Source organism: Homo sapiens, chromosome 20 (genome assembly GCF_000001405.40).
Source record: "Homo sapiens chromosome 20, GRCh38.p14 Primary Assembly".
Classification (NCBI taxonomy): Eukaryota; Metazoa; Chordata; class Mammalia; order Primates; family Hominidae; genus Homo; species Homo sapiens.
The window spans coordinates 63,072,469-63,094,306 of record NC_000020.11 but is presented as its reverse complement, the minus strand read 5'-3'; the positions used below and the strand labels follow the sequence as shown (position 1 = coordinate 63,094,306).

General features: G+C 53.3%; 1 long non-coding RNA gene across 1 annotated transcript, besides 1 other annotated feature; it reads right to left on the bottom strand.

Moving 5' to 3' along the window:
- Positions 1-8,363: 8,363 nt before the first annotated feature.
- LINC01749 (long intergenic non-protein coding RNA 1749) lies at positions 8,364-14,315 on the bottom strand. Its single transcript, XR_010947461.1, has 2 exons — positions 14,204-14,315; positions 8,364-13,997 (listed from the first exon to the last, which is right to left on the bottom strand). It is a non-coding gene; the product is annotated as a long intergenic non-protein coding RNA 1749 (long non-coding RNA).
- Positions 21,039-21,538: an enhancer, noted in NCBI's record as "H3K4me1 hESC enhancer chr20:61704121-61704620 (GRCh37/hg19 assembly coordinates)". NCBI's record gives its function as "activates a minimal SCP1, AML or CMV promoter by ChIP-STARR-seq in primed H9 embryonic stem cells {active_cell/tissue: H9 hESC(primed)}" and the evidence as "EXISTENCE:reporter gene assay evidence [ECO:0000049][PMID:30033119]".

Genomic DNA, 21,838 nt, shown 5'->3' with positions numbered 1-21,838 from the left:
TGCTGCCACACTGAGTGTGGCTTGTTTCCTAGAGAAGCCTCTGTGTGGTGGTCCCGGCCAGGCCGCGGAGCAGCGCAGCCTTGGGGGCGAGGCACCCTCCCCTCCCCATGCCCATGGGGCTCTCCTTCGGGACTTCAGCACCAGGGGAAGTTCTTTCTCCAGAGCAGCCGTCTTGGCCTTCAGGCTGGAGTGCGGCTCACAGAGGCCGGGCAGCCAGGAGACAGCGGCTCTGGGATATTCCAAACATACTGGAGAGCTCACGTGTGTGCACAGGGAAGGGCGGCCGGTGAGCTTGAACTGAGGGTGCGGTCACCAGCCAAGTTTTCCAAGGAGGCGCCCTCCAGATTCACACCTGGGTGCAGCTTGCGATGTTTACATTTTTTTATTTTTTTGAGATGAAGTCTTGCTCTGTCGCCCAGGCTGGGGTGCAATGGCACCATCTTGGCTCACTGCGACCTCCACCTCCCAAGTTCAAGTGATTCTCCTGCCTCAGCCCCCTGAGTAGCTGGGATTACAGGCGTGCGCCACCACGTCCAGCTAATTTTTGTATTTTTAGTAGAGACGGGGATTCACCGTGTTGGCCAGGATGGTCTCAAACTCCTGACCTCAGGTGATCTGCCTGCCTCAGCCTCCTAAAGTGCTGGGAATACGGGGGTGAGCCACCGTGCCTGGCCAGCTTGCAATTTTTTTAGAGCCGTCTCTGAGTTCTCCAGCCACCAGAACCCTCGTAAAGAGGGGGTTGAAGCTCCCTTGGCCACAGGACATTGGAGGGTAACGTGTAAGAAGACCTTCTCAGGGAACCCCCTAGTCCCGAATTCTCTCCCTGGATTCAGTAAGAAATTATAATTAATTTCTTTTTCAGTAAAAGGCAAAGCTATTTTTAAATTGCAAGCCTGATTGAATTAACAAAATGTTAGACAATTACCCGTCCTTTTAAAGTTTTTCATGTTCTTTAAAATGCATCTTGAATTTATTTATGTATTTTTTTCTGTTTCCGTCCTTTTCCTGTGTCCTGGATGTTAGGTAAAGAGTATGGCCTCCTAGATACCGACCTCATGCCATACGGATGCAGTCAGGCTCTGGCGGTCAGGAAGGTGGCTCCGGAGCTCGGCTCTGCACCGCATCCTCTGCCCCCTGTTTCCCGAGATTGCTCCTGGACACACCTTTCTCTCCCGCCCTGTGGGGTACACAGCACCCATGACAGCTTCTGTGGGACAAGAAACGGTGCGGGGCGAGGAGGGCGGGAGGCGGAGGAAGCAGATCTGGGTCTGGGTTCTGTTTGTGGAGTGGAAATGTAAGAACCAGGCGAGCTGACCGGGTGGCTGGGCCGTGTGGACCCAGATCAGCACTGTGCCATGGTGCTCTCGAGAGCCAAAGAGCCAGCCCACCTTGCAGGGCTGGGCCCGTCTGTTCCAGAAACCACATCTGCAGCCATACGGCAGCAGCTGCCTGTTGACGGCAGCGTTGGATCCTCTGACCACAGCTGAAGCTTTGACCAACAAAAGTCCCAGGGAGCTGCTCAGGGCGGGATCAGAAAAGAGGGTGCTTAGCAAGCCACACGCCACACACCCTCCCTGGGAGGCCCTGACAGCGCTTCTCTCCCTCCCATTTTCGCTCTGGCAGCCATCGTGGCGCAGACCGTGGAGCAGGGGCAGCTCTTACCCCTGGGTCTGGCATCAGGAGCGTGTCCCACCGGCTCTGTTGCCGCAGCCTCAAAGCCCCACGTGGGGCAGCAGCCGGATCGGCACTGGGGGAGCCGGAATCCATCAACCTCGGCCTCAGATCAGCATCCGCCCAGCCCTCCTGCCCCACATCCGAGCCATTTCAAGGGCTGCAGGGACATTGGGATGATGGGGAAGTGGGCCGAGGACAGCCCCAGGGAAGGCTTTGTCTGAACTCCTCAAATCACCGGGCGCTGACATTTGGGATTTTTGCCTTCCTGGCGCACCCCCACCCCACATGCACACTCACGTGCATGGCGTCGGCAGGATGTGGGTGCTGCAGAGGTGCCCCCACTTCTGTGTCTCCCACGCAGCCCCGGGAACCTGGGCCCCACAGGAGCCAGGAGCTGCAGCACAGGTCAGGAGCAGCCCTGCAAGCCTGCGGGGAGAAGGGAGCCGCCCCTGGTCCCCTTCTCCAGAAACCCCAGACTGGGGGTGAGGGTGTCTGGTGTGGGTGGCCGGGAGTTGGTGCTACACATTGAACAGGGTCGTTCCGGCACCGTCTCTGTCCGCTCATGCAGACAAGGATCAGATTTGCACACCCCAAGTGCAAGGGGACACCTGGGGTGCCCTCTGCAGCGCCTCCCTGCGGGGCAGCCCTTCTGTGGGGTGCTCTGTGAGGAGGGCCTGGGATCCGGTCTGCAGGAAACTGGATGGAGCGGGCCAGGGCCTGACCGTCTCCCCCACCCCAGCCCCAGGCCTTCCCCTCCCCATGCCTGTATGGGTGATCCCACCCCAGTCCACCTGGCTTGCCAGTGAGGTTTGCAACGCCTTCTCTTCAAGCCTTTGAGTAGACTAATTTGTACAGAATTTGCCAGAATTGACAACCTGCAGGTATGATTTCCAAAAATTTAACTGGCTTTTATCACCTGCCCTAGGACCAAGAAGCTTGACCTTTTCTCCCCAACTGCTAAATCGCCAGTCCTTTGGAGCAACAGTGTCCTCTACATAAAGGAGCAGTTAGACTAATTTAAAACAGTATTGACCTTTCCTTCCTGCCCTTTTCATTTTGACTAAATTACAGGGTGCGGCTCTGCAATTCGCCTTCCGGTCTGTGAGTGACTCCGAGTCAGCACCCACCTTGCCTTGCTGCTTAATCAAGGAGAGTGCTGCTGCTGGTGATGCAGGGCAGGGCACCAACGCCCTGGGGCGATGCAGGGCAGGGCACCATCCACCAACGCCCCGACCCAGCGTCTCTCGTGGGGTCAAGGTTACAAGGAAGGCGGGCCAGGGGCGAGGCCTGCCTCTGTCCACAGGCAGACACGGATGCCGAGGCTGGAAGGACCTTCCTGGCCCTCTCCTAACGGAGGCCCCGAGAGGGGAGGAGGCTGCAGGGATCATCCAGCCCCTCAGGGCAGCACTCAGACCAGCCTCAGGGCCATCAGCCAGGACGGCCGGTATCCTTGACTCTTGCTTCAGGTCCCAACACTCTATTTCAAGGGGATGCTGGGCCCTCCCCAATAACTCCCCACCGTGTCCCAGGAGAGCCTCCAGCTGGCCAAGAAGCCTCACCTGGCTCACAGCTTTGCTGCCCTTAAACTGAGGTCACAACAGGCCCTGGTGTCAGTGCAGCCTTGGCTCCCAAGGGTGACACATCCGCGCCTTTCCGTGGATCCCAGGCTGGTGTGGGGAGGGTGTCAGGTGGGCAGGTGGGCTGCCAGGATGGCTGGCACAGGGGTTCCTGGGGCCTGGGACATCCAGGGATGGGAACGGGCAGGTGTCCTGGGGAAGGGAAGGCTGGCCCGAGTGTCGCTGAGGCCTTGAGAATGCCCTGAGCAGAGGGAACAAAGTGTCCTGGAGGGCGGCCCAGCCAACGCCTCCCGCAAGGGTCCAGTGGAAATGTAAAAGCATCTTGGGGGCCAGGCGCAGTGGCTCACGCCTGTAATCCCAGCACCTTGGGGTCCTGGCGCAGTGGCTCACGCCTGTAATCCCAGCACCCTGGGAGGCCAAGGTGGGCGGATCACAAGGTCAGGAGATCGAGACCATCCTGGCTAACACTGTGAAGCCACGTCTCTACTAAAAATATAAAAAATTAGCCAGGCGTGCTGGTGGCATGCTCCTGCAGTCCCAGCTACTCAGGAGGCTGAGGCAGGAGAGTTGCTTGAACCCAGGAAGCGGAGGATGCAGTGAGCAGAGATCGTGCCACCGCACTCCAGCCTGAGTGACAGAGTGAGACTTCATCTCAAAAAAAAAAAAAAAAAAAAAAGCGAGGCAGGGGGAGCGGCCAGGTCTTTCGTCTAAGAAACATGCTCAGCTGATGACAGGGCCTATGAGTCTCAGTGGCCTGGCATGAGCATCTACTACATGCCTGAGCACCTACTGTGTGCCTGAGAGCCTACTGTGTGCAGCCCCCTCAACCCCAGGCACTTCCCAAGCAGAACATGTGACTGAGGGCTCCCAGATGTGGCTCCCGCCACCTTGGCAGCTCACTGATGGCTTACAGAGCACTCCTGGTCTTGGCGTTTAATACATATAATGAATTTATAGCACCCAGTGTATATTGGAAATAGTTTAACTTATCAATTCCCTGAGTCACTCACAATCCCCTTTTTCAATTTCCTGAAGCTACTTGGTTTGAGCCAATACTCCAGTCATGACCCAGCGTGGGCAACCTTTTCCTGTAAAAGCCAGATCACCAGTCAATGTTTGTCCCCGGGGGACATTTGACAGTGTCTGGAGATATTTTTAATTGTTATAATTAAACGTATAATAGGGAGAGGATGCTACCGCCATCCCATGGGTGAGGCCGGGGAAGCTGCCACGCTGCCACAGTCAGAGCAGCCCCCACCAAGACCCTCGGTCCCAGATGCCAGCAGCGCACGGCTGAGAGCCTGGCCCGCGGTCCTGAGGGCACACTGGGAGCTGAGTGTTGCACCGCATAACAACGGGGGCTTTGGGTAAATCTCCCCAGCCTCCGTCTGGTCGCCCGCACCCAGGGACGATCTCCCCAGCCTCCGTCTGGTCGCCCGCACCCAGGGACGATCTCCCCAGCCTCCGTCTGGTCGCCCGCACCCAGGGACAATCTCCCCAGCCTCTGTCTGGTAACCTGCACCCAGGGACGATCTCCCCAGCCTCTGTCTGGTCACCTGCACCCAGGGACAGAGATGGCATCTTGGGTGGGTGTGGCTCATCGCAGCATATGTGTGAGTGACTAAGTTCCGGGAGGACGCAGGCCTGCCTGACAGGTGCTGGTACTTTTCCAGGCCTGGGGGTGGCGTGACTGACACACAGGTGCCTCCCGCTCTTGGGGTTACCTGTGGGGTTGCCGTGAGGCCGAAGTCACAAGTGAGTTGAACAGCCTGGGGCACAGGTGTGGTGCAGGTGGCCCAGCCTGCAGGCCAGGTTGTGACAGAGGCAGTCTCTGCAGCCAGTTCTCACCCTAATGTGCTGGCAGCCAGCCCTGCCGAAACCCCAGCGTGTCAGGAAAAGAACAACTTTCTCAGAATGTGCTTCATGCTCAAAAACGGGCCCCATCAAGCAGGTCCCCTGGTGCGAGGTCTCGGGGCGCCCTGCCTCTGGGCTTCCGGTGTTGCTCTCGGGGTCTAGCCGTGCTCAGTAGGGAAGTCAGGGTCAGGTGCAGTGGGAGGCTTATCCCAAAGGAGGCCAGCTACTCTCCCACTAATGTATAATGATGTGGTCACAACGACTCCATATTTATACAGTAACTACCCACCCTAGGGTTTACCTGATGATTTTGCTTGGAGTTAGCATGTGAATCAGGGTATAATTACCCCGCATAATTGTTCAATCTCATAGTAACACTTTAATTTGCAAAGCAAAAATAACCATGTGATTACCCTGCAATTACATGATAGTTACTATTCAATTACTTCTATAGAGTTTGCGGTATGTTTACAGACTGGCTAATGCCCATGTGCCCTTCCCTGAGTAGTACCATGTTCTCAGGTGCCTGGGTGACAACTGTCTGATGAGCTATGTCTGTCATCAGCAAAGCTCAAGTCAGCTCTGGGTCCCCAGCTCGGGACCCTCTCCCAGCAAGCTCCGGGGGCTGCCTGAGACCCCAGCCTGCAGGTGCTCCCGCCTCACCACCACCGCCGCCAGCCTCCCCACCCCTTCCACTCTCAGGACGCTCTGAGCCTGAGCCCGGTGCTGGGCAGGTGTTCTGATCGCACCTGTTACACCACAGCTGCAGCCCAGGTGCTGGAGACGCTCATCATTGCAGCAAGAGGAACAATGGCAGCCTCTGCTCAGAGCCTCCACCTGCCTGGTCCTGTAAGGAAAGGCTTCCCCTGGAGGGGTTGCTTCATCCTCGCTGAACTGTGATCACGGAACTGCAGCCATTCCCGTCTGGAGGTGAGGAAACTGCGTCCAGACACGAATGCGTGTCCCAAGTCTACACGGCTGATGCGAGGAGGCCCATACCTGTCTAAATCCAGAACCCACGCCCTGGGTCCCTGCAGGCTGAGGTTGCAAGGGGTTCCCTGGAAGGCACAGCAGGTAAACCTGGGGCCGTGCTCCCTCCTGTTGGGCAGGGATAACTTCTGCACACCTTTGCCCATTTCTCTGGGGCATTCGGCTGCCCTAGCATGGAGCCACCTCGTAAGAAACGGAAGAGGACGCTGCCCAGGGGTCAGGCACGGGGCCCCGACGGTGACTGGAGCCCAGGCGCACAGAGCCCGGGAAAGGCGGCTACAAGAGGCTGTGAGCGTAGAGTCACCTCCTTTCCTCTCTTCGCTGATTTAAAAAGCGGTTGTAAAAACGAGCATGTACAGAATGGGCTCTGGTGCCGGTAGCACGTGGAAATGGAACACGCGTGTCATGCATGGGCCTGGAACCACACAAAGGTGGGAGGGGGTTGGGGCTGTACCAGGCTGAGGAATGAGCACGGACGGTGAAGGAGCAGCAGCAAACTATGGGCTCGCGGCCTCGCCAGTCGGGATAGACACGCCACACCACACAGAGGGCAAGGGTGCAGGGACGCAGGAGCGGCACTTCCCCTTCCCATGGGAACCCAGCTGATTCTGGCGAGGTGTCCGTGGGACCCCAGCGCAGCCCCTGAAAAACAACTCAGAAGGAAGAAGGGCCGCGTGCCGGGAGCCTGGTGGCAGCCGGAAGAGCAGAGACGTGAGGAGGGGCTGCAGGGTGGGGAGTGGGGACCCCCGCACCAGGAAGCCCACTTCCAACAGAGGTGAGGCTTGTTTTCCTGCTCGCTGCTTCCTGGGCCCAGCAGGGTCAACCCCGGAGTCACAGGGGTCCCGCGTGCCTTCACCCAGTGGGCCCAGACGCATCTGTGTACACCCTTGCTGAGCACTCAGCATGAATTTTTCTGCCCTTAAGAATCAGTGCCTCACTCAGCCCGGTGTTTGCACTTGGCAATCAGAGTGAGCTCTGGATGCCACAGACAGGGTCATGAACCTGGTGCAGCCACAGCTGGGCTCACCCCGGCCGACAGCACCACCCCCTCACGTCCCTCAGCCCCTCTTTCTCCACATGCGGCTGGGACAGGGGAGGGAGGACAGCCGCACAGCCCTCTGCCAGCTCAGGTCTCCTCCAGAAAGACCCCGGTGCGCACTGCAGGCTGTTAGAACAGCTGAGGTGTTCTGTGTCAGATTCACGCACACGCACACACGTGTGCACACACGCCCAGAATCACGCCTCCTGTGGACACAGGCCTTCTTAATAAGTGGACGTCCACCCACGGGAACGCGGCTTGGCTTGGGCCCTGTTTTTGGCCAGTCCGCAGGGCCAGGGCCTGATTCTGGTAAGGACCACGTGAGCTGCAGGGCCCCGGGACCCTCCCTGAGCAGTGCCAGGACCCTCAGCTCCTGCCAGGCCCTGCACTGGCCCACGGTGATGAGGCAGGTGCACAGGTCTTACCTGGGAGCAGAACGTCCTTGGCTGGACATCTGGTCTGAATGGAAACACTACTGAAGTGAGGCAGGACGCTGTGTGGGTCCCCCCCATAGAGGCCGACCTGCAGACGTGAACGCAGCTGACCAGGTGCCACAGGGGTGCGGTCGGAGGCAAGGGGGCTCTCGGTGAGAGGGAGAGCAGCCCTTGGGAAGGGTCCGGGGCACCCGGGAGAGGACCAGGGGAGCCTTAAACACGGCGCATTCCCAGAGCGCAAGGTTGGGGTGCTTCATTCATCTTAAACTCCTGTCTCTGCGCGGCCTCACAGGCAATCCCAGAGCTCCTAGCGCCTCCGACCGTCCTGGGCTCCCACAACCCCTTGAGTGATAGCCAGGCACCTCTTTCTAGAGCCCCATGGTTGAGCAGCTAGACTTGCATTTCAAACCATCTGAAATCCAAAATGAGAAATAATGATCTGTAGTCAGACTCAAAATAAATGACAGGATGAAACTCCCCATCGTTCTGTTTTATCCGGTCGTTTCCCGCCTCTGCTTCCAGGGGCGGCAAAGCTCAGAGACTGTCTAAATCCTCACTTTAAATGAAGGCCGAACTGACCACAGGCTCCCACAGATGTTTCTTCTAATTTGTAAAAGGTAAATGTTCTGTGCACTAGGAACACACACACACACACACACAGACACGCATGGAGACACAGACATGTGCACGCATGCACACACGGCGGGGAGAGGCTGCAAGGCCCTCGGATTCCAGGAGAAGCACATCCTTAATGATACATATGATAATTAAAGAATACAATAAACACAATTAGCGTATGTTTTAAACAGTTTATTAGTGAAGCTTACCATCAAATCAGAACAGAGTGCTCCAGGGTTGGTTGGGATAACAGCTTCTAATCCTCAGCGTCATAAAATCCCTGGCTTAGAAGAAATGGGCGTCTTTAAATGATGGAATCAGCAGGCCTGAGCAGCCCCGCCTGAATGTTGCCAGGCAAAGGTGACGTCGCTGAAAGCCAGGCGGGACGAGGGTGTGACGGCGGGACTGGGCCTCTGCCGTTCGCGGCTGGGAGCTGCAGGCAGCGTGCACGGGGGTGCTCTCGCAGGGTGGCAGGAGGACCATGAGCCCATGAGGGAACCAGGACACAGGCCTGGCTCGGTTTGCTGACGGCCTTGGCCAGGTGCACCCAAGGGCGGTGGAAGCGGGTGAGGCAGAGACCCCGGTCCTCTGCCCGCGGGGTCTGCCCATGGGCCCTGTCAACCACCCGCTGCTCAGATGTCCAGCCTCGGACTTGCTGGTTCTGTGCTGAGACCCCGTGGCCTCCCTCCCTCTGCTGTTCCTGAGCTCCAAGTGGCTCCGGGCTCAGCAGAGCGTCAGGGAAGGTGCTGGGCTCTGAGATGCCCTGCAGGCGAGGGCTGGGTTGGACAGGCGGAGGACAAACGAAGATTTGCCCCAGCTCAGACCAGAGCAGAGTGGATTCTCATCAGACATCATGAGTTCCTGCTTTGCAAAGCGGAGAGAGAGCAGCTGTGCAGTGCATGTCGGAACTCATTTCTGTAGGAAAATGGGAGCTTCAGATGGGAAGGAGCCGCTCTGTCCGGATGAACTTTGTGCCGGGCACAGCACTTCACACCTTCACTCCGAGCCTCCTCTCTACTTTCTGGAGAGGGTGTTTTTGTTGTTTTCTTGTTTTGTGTTTGGCCCATCTCGGGATCTCCTGGAATTTCGGGTCAGTGGGATGCTGAGGGAAGAGAGAGCTGAGGAGCTGATGCCACAGATATTGAAGCCCCCGGTGTCCAAAAATGGGTATGGGCCGGCGTCCAAGCCTCCAGGTTTCTTCGGGAAGGAGTGTGGGCCGGCGTCAGAGCCTCCAGGTTTCTTCCAGGAAAGGGCGTGAGCCGGTGTTGAAGCCTCCAGGTGTCTTCCGGGAAGAGGTGTGGGCCTGAGAGGCGGTAGGTGTGGCCAGGCCAAGGGTGAGCCCTGATACCCGCCAGGCACCGAGAAGGGACACCGGCAGCTGCATGCAGAGCTCATGACTGTCCCCAGACCAGAAGCTGCTTCCCCCACGGGGGTCCGTGATTGTTTTTCCAGTTTAACATCTCTGGCTGAGGCTTGGTGATGACGAACCCCTCAGTGAAGGGGGGCTGGTGGTCCGAAGCTGCCAGGGCCCCAACTCCACACGTTTGGAACCACCCAAAAGGGCAACGAACTGGCGCTCTCTGGCCTGACACACGAATGTTTGGAAATGGCCCAGGAGGCAGCTGTTAGGGCTGTTTTCTCCTGGCAGGAGCACAAAGTCCCTTCAAGAGAGGCCCCGCTGGGGGCGTCCGGGAGACACAGGCCCCTGAGCCATGGCCACCAGGCAGACTTCGCAGGCCGGCTCCAGCCCGTCACACGCCACCTTTCCTGCGAGTGAGACTCCTCAGCCGGACCACACCCGGGAGCACCCCCCCCCGGGCGAGGAGGGCACTGGGGGAGCCTCTGGAATGGCTGCTGTGGCCCCATGGCAAGGTGGCCGCCCACGGAGCTAAATAGTCCACACACAGCAAGAGGACTGCAGCCTTCACCTGGGATTGGGATCCTGAGAACAGCCAGGCAGTGGCTGCCGCCAAGACACCACACCCACCAGGCACCGCCCCGTGGGACAATTGGCCCTCTGTTGGGGCTCCGGGAACACAGTGACCACGGGAGAATGAGCGAGCCTCCAGCTGCTCAGGCTTCAGGCTCCCGGCCTGTCCACCTCCCTGGCCTGCCCGCGGGGGACAAAAGGCCGCTCCCGTCCTGCCCTCTGGGCTCCAGGGTTTGAATGATTCCTGTTGTTCCTGCTGTCAGGAAGCCCCGGGGCCCTGGTCCGGGCACTCAGTGGCCCATGGACTACGATGGTTCCCGCTGTTTGAAACGCAAAGAGGAGGATCCGGTTCATAAAGCCTCGGCCAGAACCTCCTGAACCCCTGGTCCGGGCACTCAATGACCCAGGATCTGGTTCACAAAGCCTCGGCTGGAACCCCCTGAAGCCCTGGTCCGGGCACTCAGTGGCCCATGGACTAAGATGGTTCCCACTGTTTGAAATGCAAAGAGGAGGATCCGGTTCATAAAGCCTCGTCCGGAACCTCCTGAACCCCTGGTCCAGGCACTCAGTGGCCCATGGACTAAGATGGTTCCCGCTGTTTGAAACGCAAAGAGGAGGATCCGGTTCATAAAGCCTCGGCCGGAACCTCCTGAACCCCTGGTCCGGGCACTCAGTGACCCAGGATCTGGTTCACAAAGCCTCAGCTGGAACCTCCTGAGACCAGTCTGGTTACTCAGTGACCCAGGATCCGGTTCACAAAGCCTCGGCTGGAACCCCCTGAAGCCCTGGTCTGGGCACTCAGTGATCCATGGACTAGGGCGGCGTGCCTATTCTGTGGATAACCTCACCTGCTGGGCCTCCTGGGCTCCTCCAGCTGGTGTTTCTGTGTCTCGTGTTCATAGATCCAACCTGCACAGCCAGAAGGAGAGATCCACGTGAGAGTCCGGCCGGAAGGAGGAGGAGTGTAGGGCTGAACTTACCTGCCCGCCTCAGTGCCATGCCTGGTTTTCCCACTGGAGGCCCGCTCGCCACCCTCTCCAGCCTGCTTCACAGTCCCTGTGGCACCCTTGGAGCCAAGCCCACCCACTGCTGGGCCAGCTCACACTGTCACCAGCCCCCACAGAGGCTGCTCCTGCCTTCTGTCCATCCTGAGCCGGGGATTGGGCCCAGACCACCTGCCTCACGGGCCACCCTGCCATCGCCCCCTCCTTGGGACCTCATGGCTCTGGGTGTCCCCCCACTCACCCTGGCATTGATTATATGCTCTCTCCTTTTCTAGGCACCCCAAATGTAAGCCCTGGTGGAGACAAGGACTTGGACGAAGGTAGTGTGTTTGGGATGTGAGACCAGGAAGCTGAAGTGAGGGACGGAGCACACAGTGAGACAGGAAGAGAGAGCAGCCCATGGAGGGCAGTTTCACAAGAGCTGCTGCTCAGGCCTGCTGGGGGCCCTCTGGGAAGCCATGGAGAATGAATGCACTTCCAAACTGTCCACCGACGCTGGGGAGGCTGGGGCATTTATCTACCCGCTCCCATCCCCATTGGTTGGTGATGGCCCCGGGTAGGGTGGTGCCTCCTCTGCACCCCACCCCCCACCGCCCCCAAGCACCCATGCACAGCAGCAGCCGCTCTCCTCCCCCGACAGCCAAGCAGAGCGATGATGCGGGGAGGGCTGGAGTCCTGGATGGGCGGTGGCGGCCACAGTGAATGGAGCTGTCCGCCTCCCTGGTGCTGAAGCCCAGAGAGCAAGGTGGTGCTGCGGTGCAGCTCCCTTGATGTTTTCTCTCAATTTTGGGGGTGTGAGGTTTATCCCTTCAACCAGCCTCTGAGGTCTTTAAAGCAAGGGCCCCACATTCTGCTTCCACATAGCCAGCCCCTTTGTGCCAGCGCAAAGGTGGGCACAGAAATTCAAACTCAGTACCCAACACCAGTGATTCCTGCTGCCGAAGGTGTCCCCAGAGGCTGTTGATGGATGAACGGGCAGGAGGCTCTTACGGATCAGAGAAACACCTGACGGAAACAGGAAACAAAAGCATGCTTGTCTTTTTGATACTTTGTGTCTCTGTTGGGGGATGACCTCTCCCAACTAGAGGGGCTAGAGGAGCCCCAGGCAGAGGCTGGAGTGGTGGGGAGGCCATAGGAGTCCCACGGTGGGAAGAGCAGGGCTCCTGGCCACTCGGGCTCCTGCAGGCACCACATTCCTTCATCCCATGGCTCACTAAGCTCCTCCCTCATGCCAGCCACGGTTTCTACGTCTCTAGCCCTTTATCTGCCGTTATTTCTGAAGTTGCATAAGTTTAACTGCAATCGTGCCATTACTTGGGGACGTAGTTCATTTTCATTGAGGCATGCTAATTCTGTCCAGTGATCTTAGACACATGTGACATCTGTAGCTCAGCGTTTATGGATTTCAGGAAGGTCAGGCCGTGGATGGGGCTACATGAGACCACACAGCACCACATCCATAGATGGCACCTTATTCTGCTACAGCTGGGGACACAGACATGCCCAAGGTCCCAAGAAGAGGAACGGTGCTCCTTAACTTCTTCTCACCTGACTCACTTCCTCTAGGAAGGCCTTCCTGCCCTGACCAGTGCCCCTCACAGCCTTCCCAGGTCAGTGACCCCCTTGTCCATGTGTGTCCACATATGGTGAGCTCGGCCTTTGAGGCCATGACCATGCATGGTTTCGCACGCCTGGTTCCTGAGCCCCTAGCCCTGTGCCCAGCACATAAAGAATGTTTAAAGGAATCACTCGCCCTCATTCACTTAAGCCCCCCAGGAACAGGAACCACTCCACAGGGGCCAGCATGCTCTGAGTAGATTTTGAGCATCTGTGTCCAACAGGCCAGGCCTCGGCAGGACTGTTCAGGACCCAGACCAGGTTCTGCAGGGCTTCAGAGGGGACTCACACAAGGAGGGGGTCCCCCAGGAGGCAGAGAGGAACAGACCTCTTCCCATGGCAGGGTCCAAGTGCAGCCCCTCAGGTGGGCAGAAACAAGAGGGAAATTTCATACTCCTGGAGATAACTGGGAAATGCCCCTCGATTTCACCCCAGGGAAGCTGAATCTGCCATAAGGAAAAGGGGTCAAGTGGAATGGGGCTCCCTCTGGAGCTGCTTGGGCTCCTGCAGGCACCACCCAGAGCTCAGATTTCAGCCACAGCAGCCCCTTCAGCAGCTTTGCATGGGACACCAGGAGGGTGGGTGTGCTGGTCCTCACTCTAAGGCTTTCAAGCATACCCCACCTGGTTGTGCTCCCAAAACTCCTGTGAGAAGGATGCTGTGAACAGCTCCAGCTGCTGAAAATGCAAGGCCGGAGTCTGTAGGAAGTGCCAACCTTATGGCCATGACACCAATACTGCCGCATGGACACGCCCTCTGATGCTTGCAGCCTCTGTCCACACTGGGTGTGTCTCCATCCACCAATGGAACGAGTTTGTCCCACCGCACTGAGACCCTCCTGGACCAGCAGAGGAACTCAGACCTGGGGAGATGGCTCGGGGCGAAGCACAGGAAGCCTGCAGGGAAAGCACGCACTGTGCCTCCCACCTGTGCCCAGAGCTGGGAGAAGATGGACCCAGCTGCTCCCACTGCCGCGTCTGTGCCTCCCGCATCTGTGCCTTGCCCCGAGCCTGTGAGCAAGCACCCATGCTCCAAGGCAAGCCGGCCCACCTGTCCTTAAGGGGTGGCCCCCTGGTTGCTGTGCCATCAGATGCTCCTGCTGCTTGTCCATTCCCATCAGGATACAAACATGCTCAATCTCCCCTACCTAACAAAGCAGCAGCGCCTTGACCTCATGTCCCCCTCGCTGTGCCCCCAGCTTCTTGTCTTTAATGCAAAACTCCAGGAAGAGTTGTCTGCATTTGTTCGTTGATGGGGCCTCTGCAAACAGATGGGGGGAGAGACACTGAGATTTGCTGCAGGGGCTGCTGGGGACTGAGTGTCCTGGGGCTGCTGTAACCAAGGACCAAACTAGGAGGCTTCAAACAACACAGATTCACTGTCTGAGTTCTGAGGCCAGAAGCCCAGCACCAAGGTGTTGGTAGGCTGGTTCCCTCCACAGGCTCTCTGGAGAATCTGTTCCTCACCTCCCCCAGCTCCTGGTGGCCCCACACATCCTTGGCTTGTGGCGGCATCTCTCCAGTCTCTGCCTCCATCTCATATGGCCTTGTCCTCTGTGGCTGTGTGTCTCTTGTCTCCCTATAAGGACACCAGGGATTGGATCAGGGCCCATACACTTCAGTACAACATCTTAACTAAGTATTTCTTCAAAGGCCTTATTTCCTAATAAGGTCACATTCCGAAGTTCCGGGAAGCTCATCGATTTTGGTGGACACCATTCAATCCAGTATAGGGAGGTTCTTTCTGGCAGTACCCTTTGTTGGAGGGCAGGGCAGGGGAGAGGGTTGTCCCAGTTGAGGTAGGGGGCAGGGCTCCATGTCCTGGGATGGAGGCTGACCCTAAGGAGGGATGGCCCTGGGAAAGAGACTCAGCTGTGAGCTGCTAGCAAACCCCTGTGCTGAGAGGGGTCTGGGTGGCCCACTGTGTGCACCCACATGTGCCCTCCACACTCCACCTCCAGGAGGACTCTGGAATCTTGAAAGCACCAAGAGAGAAGAAATTTGTCACATACAAAGGATCCTCTATTAGATTGCAAGCCAGTTTTTCATCAGACACTTTGGAGGCCAGATGACAGTGGGCCAATATATTCCAAGTGCTAAAATAAAATTTAAAACAAACAAACAAGAATCCTATATCTGTCAAAACTGTCTTTCAAGAGTGAGGGAGAAACTAAGACATTCCCAGATAAACAAAAGCTGAGGGAGTTTGTTATCACTAGACCTTCCATGTAAGAAATGCTAAAGGGAGTCCTGCAAGATGAAATAAAGGACACTAGACAGTAACTAGAAGCTGTATGAAGAAATAAAGGTCTCAATAAAAACAAATACATGGCCAATTATAAAAGTTAGCATTATTGCCACAGTGGTTTGTAACTGCAATTTTGTTTCCTATATGATTTAAGATACTAATACTTTTTTAAAAAGTTATTAGTCAAAACTAGCACTACTGTAAATTTGGTTTGTAATTCCACATTTTGTTTTCTACATAATTTGAGACTAATGCACTTAAAAGAATTATTAGTTTAGATTTAATTTTGTGACATTAATAACTGAAAAGGGTAGGGACAGAGCTATAAAGAAGCAGAGTTTGTGTATGTTATCAAAGTTAAGGTGCTATGAATCCAAATTAGAAATTTAATATGCTAAATGTAATGCCATGGTAACCACAAGGAAAATAGCTATAGACTGTATACAAAAAGAAATGAGAAATTTAAACATTTCACTAAAATATGAACTAAACACAAAAGACACTAATGTAGGAAATGCAGGACAAAAACTCTAAGGCATATAGAAAACATAGCAAAATGACAGAAGCCAGTCCTTCCTCATCAGTAATTACTTTAAGTATAAATGGGTTTGACTCCAGTCAAAAGACACAGATTGAAAGAATGAATAAAAACATATGATCCAACTATATGCTATCTTCAAAAGACTCACTCTAGATCCAAAGACACAAATAGATTGAAAGTAAAAAGATGGAAAAGATATTCCATGCAAATAGCAACCAAACAGAGTAGGGGTAGCTATAGTAATATCAGACAAAATAGAGTTTACAATTTAAAAAGAGACAAAGAAGAGCAAAGACAAGGGCATCATATATTAATAGAAGGTTCAACACAGCAAGAAGATATAATGATTATAAACATTTATACACCTAACAACAGATAATCAAAATGTATGAAGCAAAAAACTGACAGAGTTGAAGGAAGAAATAGACAGTTCTATTAATACAGTAACAGTTAGAGACCTCAATATCCTCTCTCTATAATAGATAGAATAATCATACAAAAGATAAATAAGGAAACAGAAGAGTTAAACAACACAATAAACCCACAAGATATAACAGACATATACAGAACATTCTACCCAACAGCAACAGCTTACACATCCTTAAGTGCACATGAAACAATTTCTAAGATAGACTATGTTAGTTTACAAATTAAATTTCAATAGATCTTAAAAAGATAGATATCATACAAAATAACTTCTCTGACCACAATGGTATGAAATACAGACCAATATTTTTAATAAACACTGATGCAAAAATCCTCAATAAAATACTAGCAAATCAAATTCAGCAGTATATTAAAAGGATTATGCCCCAGGACCAAGTGGGATTTATTCCTGGAATGCAAGGATGGTTCAACATATGAAAATCAATCAATGTAATACACATTAACAGAATGAAGGAAAAAAACCACATGATCATCTTAATTGATGCAGAAGAAGCATTTGACAAAAGCCAATATCCTTTCATGATAAAAACCATTCAACAAACTATGAAACTATGTCAACATAATGAAATACATGTATCAGAAACCCACAAAGAACATCATATTCAGTGGTGAAATACTGAAAGCTTTTTGTCTAATATCAGGAAGAAGGGAAGGATGCCTGCTTTCACTACTTCTATTTGAGATAGTACTGGATGTTTTATCCAGTGATTAGACAAGAAAAATAAATGACATCCAAATTAGAAAGAAAGAACTTAAAAAAAGTCTCTGTTTGCAGATGTAAAATACACTAAATATGACACACACAAAAACTGCAGGAACTAATAAATGAATTCAGCAAAGTAAGAAGATGGAAAGTCAACAGATAAAAATCAGTTGTATTTCTATACACTAACAAGCAATCTGAAAAGGAAATTAAGAAAACAATTCCACATATAATAGCATAAAAAAGAATAAAATACTAAGAATTAACCTAACCTATGAGATGAAAGACATACAATAAAAACTACAAAATATTGCTGAAAGAAATTAAAGAAGAGATAAATAAATGGAAAGACATCCCATGTTCATGTATTGACTTAATATTGTGAGAATGGCAATACTATCCAAAGCAATATACAGATTTAATGTAATCCCTATCAAAATCTCAGTGACGTATTTTGCAGAAATAGAAAAACCCATCCTAAAATTTCTATGGAATCTCAAGGAACACTGAATAACCGAAGCAACTTTGAAAAAGAAAAAAAAAACAGAGCTGGAGAACTCACACTTCCTGATTTCAAAACTTGCTACAAAGCTACTGTAATCAAAGTAATATGGTACTGACATAAAATCAGACATATAGACCAAATAAAATAGAATGGAGAGCCCAGAAATAAACACTCACATACATGGTTAAATGATTTTTTTACAATGGTGCCAAGACCATTTGATGGGGAAAGGACAGTCCTTTCAACAAGTGTTTCTAAGAAAACTGGACATCCACATGCAAAAGAATGATGTTGGACCCTTACCCAACAAGATATACAAAAACTAACTAAAATGGATCAAAGGCCTAAATGTTCAACATAAACAAACTTTTAGAAGAAAACTGCTGTGGTTGGATTTGGTTGGTTTGGCCCTGCCAAGCCTCCTGTGGGGATCTGATCCCCAGTGTCGGAGGTGGGGCCTGGTTGAAGGTATTTGGGTTGTGGGGCGGATCATTCATGAACAGTTTGGTGCTATTCTCGGGGGAGTGAGTTCTCACTCTTAGTTCCCACAAGAACTGATTGTTGAAAAGAACCTGCTCCCCTCTCTTGCTCCCCATGCTCTCGCTGTCTGATCTCTGTGCACTAGCTCCCTTGCTTCCCCTTCACCTTTCACCATGAGCGGAAGCTTCCTGAGGCCCTTGCCAGAAGCAGATGCTGGTGCCATGCTTCCTGTGCAGCTTGCAGAACCATGAGCCAAACAGACCTCTCTTCTCTATAAGTGACCCAGCCTCAGGTATTCCTTTATAGCCACACAAATGAACTACGACAAACACAGGGCAAGAGCTTCATGATATTAGATGTGGCAATGATTCCTTGGATACAACATCAAAGGCACAGGCAACAAAAGAAAAAAACAGACAAATTGGACTTCGTAAAAAATAAATATTTTTGTACCAAAAGACTATTTTTTTTAAGAGCCAGGGTCTCGCTCTGTTGCCCAGGCTGGAGTGCAGTGGCACAATTACAGCTCACTGCAACCTTGAACTCCTAGGCTCAAGTGATCCTCACGCCTCAGCCCCCCAAGAAGCTAGGACTACAGGCATGGAGCACTGTGCCAGGCTGTTTTTTATTTTATGTTTTTGTAGAGACAGGGTCTCACTATGTTGCCCAGGTTGTTGACCCTCAAGTGATCCTCCTGCCTTGGCCTCCCAAAGTGCTGGGATTACAGGCAGAGTTAATATGCCCAGCCAAAAGACAATATTAACAGGGAAAAAAGGCAACCCAGAAAATGGGAGAAAATATTTGCAAATCATATATCTGATTAGGGATTAATATCCATAATATACAGAGGACTTCTAAAACTCAACAACAACAAAAAACCTAACTCAGAAATGGGCAAAGGACTTGGATAAACATTTCTACAAAGAACACATACACATGGCCAATAAGCACATGAAACATCGCTAACCACGAGGAAAATGCAAATCAGAACCACAGTGCGATGCGCCTCACACCCACTGGGATGGCTACTGTGAGAAAAAACCGAAAATAACAAATGTTGGTGAGGATGTGGAGAAACGAACCCTCGTGCATGGCTGGTGGGGGTGTAAAATGGTGCCACCACTGTGGAAAACAGGATGGCACTCCCTCAAAAAACTCCAAATAGAATGACCACGTGATCCAGCCATTCCACTTCTGAGTGCACCCCCAAAAGAATTGAAAGCAGGGTCTCAAAGATAACCTATAGCAGATGTGCATGCTGTGAACCCATGTTCATAGCAGCACTGTTCATAACAGCTAATATGAACCCCATATCCATTGAAGGATGAACGACTATACAAAATATGGTCTATCCACGCAATGGAATATTATTCCGCCTTTAAAAAGGAAGGAAATTTACCCATGCTACAACGTGGATGAAATTTGAGGACTTGATACAAAGTGAAATAAGACAGTCGCAAAAAGGCGAATACTATACGATTCCACTGGTGTGAGGTACTTAGTCAAATTCATAGACAGAAAGTAGAACGGTGGGTGCTGAGGCTTGAGGGAGGGGGGATGGGAGTTGTTTAATTCGGACAGAGTTTCAGTTTTACAAGATGAAGAGAGTTCTGGAGGTGGACAGTCGTGATGACCGCACAACATTATGAACAGACTCAATACCACTTAAAATGGCTAATAAGGTAAATCGTGTTATGCATATTTTACCACAGGCCCAGGCCTTAAGGAACTGGCACTTCCTGTCTCCTGGAACACCCACTTTCAGAACCATCACCATGCCACGTGGGAGCTCAGGTTGCCCGTGGAGACATCCATGGAGACGAACTGATGGCTGTGCCAACTCACGTCTTGGAGATTGGTCCCGCAGATAGGGTTGAACTGTCCCAGTGGACGCTGTGGAAGAGAGGCAAGCTGACTCCTCTCAGCCTTGCCTTAATCAGCTTTCTGATCCCAAGAAATTACCACTTTTTAAGCCATTCACAAGTTACATCAAACTTCAATATCTGCCCTGGTGTCCCACTATAAGCTGTCCACAGGATATGGCAACATGTGAAACTCAGAAACATCTTCTGTTCTCAAAATGTGCCTTTATTTTATTGTTATTATTTTGAGACGGGGTCTCACTCTGTCACCCAGGCTGGAGATCAGTGGCCTGATCACGGCTCACTGCAGCCTCAACCACCTGGGTACAAGTGATCCTCCCACCTGAGCCTCCCAAGTGGCTGGGTCCACAGGTGCGCACCACCACGCCTGGCTAACCTTTTTTTTCTTAGTAGAGATGCGGTCTCACTATGTTACTCAGTCTGGTCTCAAATTCCTGGGCTCAAGCGAGACTGGCCCGCCTCGGCCTCCCCTAATGCCGGGATTGCAGGTGTAAGCCACTGTGCCCAGCCACAAAGTGTGCCTTTCTTTAAGTGTGTTACCTAGGTACCAATGACTTTTTGAGTAGAACAAAAAAACAAAAACAAAAACATTAAAAAGTGTATATACCTAACTTTCCCACCTTCCCACAGGACTCCGAATTTAAGAACTGTTAGCATATAAAACTCTGTGGGGGTGGCCCCCTGCGGAGGCTTCAGGGAAATCGGCTGTGGTGACCGGAGACTCCGAGCCTCCTCCCTTAAAAAGAGGAAACTGTGCAAAATGCAGCTCCAGAAAAAAATTCCTGATCTTCTGAAGTTTCCTGATGACAGGTGGGGGACAGATTCCTGGGGACTGGAGAAGCCTCCGGGGAAGAAGTGTCCCTGTGTGTCCAGCCTGTGCAGGGAGGGGAGGGCACATCGCAGGGCTGCAGCTGGCCCCAGGGAGAGCTCCCGACCTCCAGGGAGCCCCTGCACCCTTAGACCAACAGCCCCCAGGGTGCACAAGGCCACCCAGGTCCTCCCAAGAGCCCTGTGAACACTTGGGCACCCAGCCCAACTGGGAGGGCAGCTGACCAGTCCTGGGGGACATTTCAACCGCTCACCTCAGTACCAGCCACAACCCGCAAGGTGCCAAGCAATCTCAGGAATTCCTGCAGGAATGGGCACTCAGGTGGATTCCAGAGTCCCACGTGCCAGGGCCCAGGGTCCCAGCCTTGCCCTCAGATTTGAAATGCACGTCTCATCTGTAGTATCATTTAGGACCCTCGATGAGGCTCCTCCAGTTCAGGTGGGGGCTGCCTGTCACCAAAGTCCACCCCCAGCTGGGACCCAGGGCCACTGGGACCTCTACATTGGGAAGCCCCTCCTTCAGAGCAGGCAGCCCCCTCTGGGCCGGACTGCCCTGGGGCCAGGCCCTCTCCTGGGCTCCCGAAGGCCTCAAACCATCCCAAGGCCTCATTCCCCATCCCTGGCCTCCTAGAGAGGAAGCCACGAGCACCCCGGGGGAGGGTAGGCTGGGCTCCCCTAGAACACACAGACCTGCCCCCCAAGGGAGGCATCCCCCTGAAGCCTCTCCTCTGCAGCTCTCCAAGGGGTCCAGGGGGCTGTCCAGTGGTCCCCGCTCAGGGCCTCTTGCAAAGGAAAAGCTGAGCTGCCAGGAGCCCGGCAACCGTGGGGAGAGGCGGCCTCCAGGCAGTCAGCAGGCCACCTTATCATCATTACGCTGCTAATTAATTCCCAGCTCATTGCATTTCCTGTGGCTAATTTGCACTCAGGCTGATTTGATTAAACTCATCTCTATGCTAATAAATGTGTTTTCCATTTGTTTTAGTGACTGAAGGAAGAGGGTTTGATATTTACATGTTTCGAGGTTTATCAGAAAAAATTGCAGCATCTGAATTAATTTCTCTCTGATTTACAAGTTTGTAAAAAGGATCACGGGGTCAACAGCTTCCCCCAGGCCCCTCTCCCCGTGCCCTGTACCGATCCCTCGGGTCCTGCCTGGCATGGGGGTGCCTGTTCCTCCAGCCCCCCAGGTCCTCCGTGGAGCGGGCCCCTCCCTTCCTCTGTGGGGAGTGGGCTGCCCCAAGCTCCTCTTTGCTGAGAAGTATCTGCGTTCTGGTGGGGGGTCGAGGGGCAAACCCCGACGTTCACATCGCCCCAAGCCTGAGCAGGCAGCTAGAACCGCGCTTTTCCCCTTCACTCATCCACCTAACCTCCTGACCGCGAGCCCCTGCACTGGGACCCGGGAGCCTGGGGGACGCCCCCACACCCCGTCCCGGCCTCGGGCGTCCTCGAGTCTCGGCCCCGCGTCCC